Source organism: Homo sapiens, chromosome 1, assembly GCF_000001405.40.
Source record: "Homo sapiens chromosome 1, GRCh38.p14 Primary Assembly".
NCBI lineage: Eukaryota > Metazoa > Chordata > Mammalia > Primates > Hominidae > Homo > Homo sapiens.
Window position 1 is genome coordinate 112,004,720 of NC_000001.11, and position 5,797 is coordinate 112,010,516.

General features: G+C 43.7%; 1 long non-coding RNA gene across 2 annotated transcripts; it reads left to right on the forward strand.

The window, feature by feature from the left end:
- Positions 1–1,213: 1,213 nt before the first annotated feature.
- Positions 1,214–3,539, forward strand: LOC105378906 (uncharacterized). 2 transcript variants are annotated; one of them, XR_947706.2, is made up of 3 exons: positions 1,214–1,489; positions 2,332–2,380; positions 3,189–3,539. It is a non-coding gene; the product is annotated as an uncharacterized LOC105378906 (long non-coding RNA). The 2 variants fall into 2 exon arrangements; XR_947707.3 differs by lacking the exon at positions 1,214–1,489 and adding an exon at positions 1,639–1,726.
- Positions 3,540–5,797: the final 2,258 nt, after the last annotated feature.

A 5,797-nucleotide genomic window follows, 5' to 3' on the forward strand; every position in this document is an offset into this window, starting at 1 on the left:
GAATGTCCCCTGACAGCACATGTCTGTGTGGCTACCACTCTGAGATTTCAGGAGAATGGCCAGTCAGGGTCAGACCCTGACAGGAAGATTAGGGACTGTGGGACATCTCCCTTTCATCGTTTCTCTGCTGGAGGAAGATTCATCACACAGCTCAGGGCTGCTGAGCATGTGGAGAGGAATCAGAGATCCTAGAAACTAAGCTGCTGTGGAATAGGACCGTCCCTAGATGGGACCTGAGGTGCAAATAATACTTATTTTCTCCACGATTCTAATGCAGGAAAAGTTTTGACACATAAGACAAATGACAAGGATGGAAGCCCATGTCAAAGAGCTGCCTGAGGGGTGTGTAGGAATGACATTCCCTTCCCCTGACCACCACCACTTTGCTTGGATGATAAGGGAGTGGGGATGAGAAGGTTATAGTAGATTATAGGTGATCATGTGTTTGCAAGTCTCAGTCAGAGAAATCTCTGTGCAGAGTCAAGGTGGGGAATGAACTAAAATGAGAAACCTGGGACATCAGTGTGGGGGAGTTCTGTTTGGCACAGGTGAGTGAGGTGCCTGGTGTATTCAAGGTCAAGTGCCCGATAAGCAGAAAGAAGTGTATTTCTAGGACTTGGGAGAGAGTTGCTCGTTAGAAATGCGCATGTGAGAATCATCGGCCTAGAGGTGACAGCTGAAGTTGTGAGAAAAGATGACATTGCCCAGGAAGAAGGTGCAGAGGAGGGATGTGAGAGGAGGCAAGCATTGCTCCTTGGAGAGTGGTCAGAGGCAGGGCAATTAGTTTCTTTTAGGAAGCAGGGGAGTGGCCTGGAGTCAGTTGTTGGTAGGAAATAGTTAGTAGTACACATATGGTGTGGGCTTCAGGGAAGATGCTGCTGAGGGAGTTGTGGAAAATCAGGCTAGTGTAGGGGCTGTCAAATGTGAAAATGCATCACAATGACTGGAGGCCTTATTACAACACAGGTGGCTGGGCCCTACCCCCAGAGTCTCTAATTTATTAGGTTGGAGTGGAACCCAGGAATTCACCTTTCTTTCTTTCTTTCTTTCTTTCTTTCTTTCTTTCTTTCTTTCTTTCTTTCTTTCTTTCTTTCTTTTTCTTTCTTTCTTTCTCTTTCTTTCTTTCTTCCTTTCCTTCCTTCCTTCCTTCCTTCCTTCCTTCTTTCTTTCTCTTTCTTTCTTTTCTTCTTTCTTTCTTTCTCTCTCTCTTTTTCTTTCTTTCTTTCTATTTTTTTTTTCTTTTTACAGAGTCTCCCTCTGTCCCCCAGAATGGAACAGTCATGGATCCTGACTCACTGCCACCTTGACTTCCGGGACTCAAGGAATCCCCCCACCTCTGCCTCCTAAAGTGCTGGGATTACAGGCCAGGCATGAGCCACCAGCTGGGCTAGAATTTACATTTTTAACAGGTTCCCAAATGCAAGTTGATGCTGCTGGTCTAGGGACGCATCTTGTGAATCTGTACAGTGATAAACCTGCACTTGAGAAGGTTCAAATTTCACTTCATCCACCCTTTATTGTGGACCAAGTTAGACAGGATGAGAGGAGATGCTGGGCTTTGGTTAAAGAGCAGAGGTGGAGAAAAAGATGGAGAGTATAAGGCAGTTCCTTGGAAATAGAGTGGATACTGAGGGAATATGATGACATAGAGGAGGGATGACCCGAGGGGCACAGCCGCAGCCATGACTATGGATCTATGATTTTGGGTTGTGTAAAGAGATCAATGGTGAGTCTGGCAGATGGGAGTACAGGGATTACAAACAGCCCCACAGTTCTGTTTGGAGTCCTGGATGAAAGCCTAGAGTCTCCCTTCTAGAGCACCTCATCCCTCATCCCTCTCCCCAGCCCCTCTCTTCTAACGTTCTAGGATTATTGCCAGGCTCTGGGCCCCAGGCCTTCCCAAGCAGAACAGAGGCAGCTGCCTCATATCCTCGGTCATCTCTCACTGGGGTTGCTCTGTGGACAAGAAGACCCGGTACTTTTTTCGTTTTCTTTCCAAGACTCCAGATCAGGCACTTTGAGAGTGCTGTGAGGAGGCTCCTGACCTCAGTGCCAAACACCCTCTTGAGACTGAGCCACCCTGCCAGGGGTGAGGTGCAGAACTTGAGTCTTATTTTCTCTCAGTGGAGCGAGTCCATAAAGAAAATCCAATTCATCAGTGTCCAAGAGAACATTACCAAGATAGACGAGACACCATGGGCAGTATTTAATTATGAGCAGGCAGAGCAAATAGGAGGGACGCAATAAAAATGCTAATCAGGGAGGAAAAAACCCAGAATTTGTTTTCTTCTAGAATAGGCTAAAGCTCATCTCTTCCCCCTCCATTTCCAGCCCCCAAATGAGTGCTGCAGACCAGGTTCTGAATGTGACTCGGTGACAGGTGAGTCCATTTTAGCCTCCCCACCCCCACTGGCTTCTCCCTACCTCCATTGTCCCAATCACCTAGTTCCTAGAAGATACAGCCCAAAAAGAGGGAGACTGGCTTGCAAGCACACAGCTTCCTCTTCAGCCAGGGAGATCTGGCAGGGAAACTTAGAAAAAGAATGAAGTTATTATTCAGGGCTCAATTCCATGTCCCAGGGAGCACTTTAGGAAGAAACAATCTCCCCCTCTCAGTGGCATATCCATAATTTGCATGAGAAGGGAGGGAGACCAGCTAAGTGCCCCCTGACAAACCTGAATTTAATGTGTCAGGCTTAGTCTCTGGCCTGATCCTAAGTGGCTCAGTCAATCCAACTCCAAGCCACTTACGATGAGCTTGGGGACATTCAGCCAGGCCCAAAGCAGATTCTCAATTCCTTTCAACTTGGCTGAGCTTGACGTTGAAATATGGTTTAGGAATTGCAGACCATTACTGTCTCACCTCAATTTGGTAGACTCCTCATGTAGCCAGATCCTTTGGGTCACTATATCCTTCCTTACTAAAGCTCAAATTTTCACACTGCTGCCAGGCAGATTTATTTCTCTAGTTTTGCTTGGTTGCTGGGCTACCTGGATCCCAAGCCTCATGCTGCTTTTGGGTAAAATGTGCTTGTTTTTGCAGCCCTCAGGATCCTGACTCAGCCCAGGCTCTTTCCCTAGGTTTGCTTCTTCTGTTTACTGGGCATACCATTCATCCTGGCTGGTTTCCATGCAATTTCCTTGTCACTTGATTAATCTCTCTCTGGTCTCCTCAAATCTGTATGCAGCTTGAGGTCTTCTCAACATCACCAGGACAGGACCTGGGCTTGAGGACCATCTGTCATCTCACTCTGGATCACCTCCCTTCCCTCCATGACTCAGGGAGAAAGAACCCAGGCCTTCAACTCCTAGCTACGGCCCCTTCCTGGAAAAATATCTGTTAGATTAAAAGTTCACATACCAGCTTAGCTACTTACCTGGTATGGAACCCTAGACAAGCTACTTAACTTCTCTGTGCCTCAGTTTCCTCATCTAACAAATGGAGATAACATTATCTTCCTCATATTTATTATAAGAATTCAGCGCAAACACACGTAAAGAGATTGGAAGAGTGCCAGTCACATAATAAACATTCAGAAAGTGTTAGCTATCATCATTGTCATCATCATCATCATTATTATTATTGTTATGATATTTATTATTAAAGTCAATGATTATCTTATTTACCCATATGTCCAGGTACTTGGTAGAGTGGCATAAATAAACATGCAATAATCATTGAATGAATGAATGTTCATTTAAGCTAATTCTTTCAAAGACATTACCATTCCCAGGGAAATCTAAAGAGAGGACCTATGATGACAAGGCTTTACACATAAGTGGCTAATGGTGTGATTTCAGGCATGTGTGGGAAAGGGATTTTGAGTCAGTGGTTCTTTTCAATCTCCTTCATATTGAGTCACATAATTACTAGAACATAACTAGGCCTGATTTTCTGGTCAGTAGCTCACAGTTATCTTCCTTTAGGGTTGAATCTCCCTCGTAACTCTAAAAGCAATGAAACCTTAGAAAGATAACCATCAAGGGGATAAAAGAGACAAAGGAAACTGCTAGCTACAGGGACAACCTTTCCTAGGTTCTCCCTAGGAAAGTTGCCACAACCTGTATACGTGCTGAAGCTGGAAAGCCCACATCAGCTTGTTCACTATGAGACAAAGAGGGAGAGTGCTGCAGGCAGCTGACCTCAGACCCTGGCATAATAAGACCCCTTCGAGAGTCAACCCCTATACTCTTTTAGGGAGAGCTCTCCTTCCTTCTATGCCTCACAAGAGATTTCTCACAATGGAGAGTGGAAATATTTTATCTACATGTTGCTGGATGGTTGTGCTATGGATCTTCTATGAGTGATCAGGACAGAATCTTGATTGGAAAAAAGTTATGCAATTCAGAGGCAATAGGTAAACCAAGGCCTGAGAGCCGTGCCGGTCCCCACACTGGTATCACATCCTGACTTGGACAGTGTGCCTTCATAGGGGTCATCCCACATGCTTCTCAACAGATGAATGAGTAGGTTGGGACCTTTTTTCCTTTCTTTCTTTCTTTCTTTCTTTCTTTCTTTCTTTCTTTCTTTCTTTCTTTGTTTCTTTCTTTCTTTCTTCTTTCTTTCTTTCCTTTTCTTTTTTCTTTGAAAATATATTCCTATTCACATGGTTCCACTAAATGTCACTAGTTCCCTGAGTAACTTCCAGAGGTATTTATGTATATATAAGCAAATATACACATATATTCTCTCTCCCCTCTCCATGAATTGAAAGCTTGCTTTACACACTTTCATGCACCTTGCATTTTTTTTCATTTAATATTATACTTTGGAGCTTATTCTATATCAGTATATGTAGGCTTACATCATTCTTTTTGGTGGCTGCATAGTATTATATTATAGAAATTAGTTTCTTTAACCAATTTAAGTTGTTTCCAATTGTTAACCTTTACAAATAAAACTGTAATGAATAACCTGTGGGTAAGTATACCTGTAGGGTATATAGGAGTGTATGTGAAGACAAATTTCTATAACAGGAATTGTTTGGGCAAAGGCTTTATTCATTTGTAAATGTGATAGTTATTGACAAATTGCCTTTCATAAATAGCCGCCTTTTTTTAGTTATAACAAAACTGGAGCTTGAAGAGGGTAAGTGACTTTATTAAAGTTGTGCAGATTATACATAAAGCAACTGGGATGATAACTAAGGTTTGTTGAGCACTAGGGTTCTCTGGGCCCATGAGCTCAAAGAAATGGGAACATCTAGGCCAGGCACAGTGGCTCACGCCTGTAATCCCAGCACTCTGGGAGGCTGAGGTGGGTGGATCACGAGGTCAGGAGATCAAGACCATCCTGGCTAACATGGTGAAACCCCGTCTCTACTAAAAATACAAAAAATTAGCCGGGCATGGTGGCGGGCACCTGTAGTCCCAGCTACTTGGGAGCTGAGGCAGGAGAATGGCGTGAACCCGGAGGGGGAGCTTGCAGTGAGCCGAGACCACACCACTGCACTCCAGACTGGGTGAAAGAGCAAGACTCCATCTCAAAAAAAAAAAAAAAAAAAAAAGAAATGGGAACATCTAAGATATATCCTACAGATTGCTGAACTCTAATACAATCTACAGTTTCATATATTAAACATTAAGCACTGTGGATTCAACTTTGAGAAAACCACAGTCCCTACACTCAAGCAATCTCAAGTCTAGAAGGGGAGAGAAAAAAAAAAAGAAGTAATTTCAGTTTAGCATGGTGGGATAAGTCTGAGATACAAGGAGATATAATGAGAATATGGGAAAGGATCCTGATCAGCTTTGGCTTCCTGGAGGAGGAGGCATTGAAGGTGACATTGGATAATCT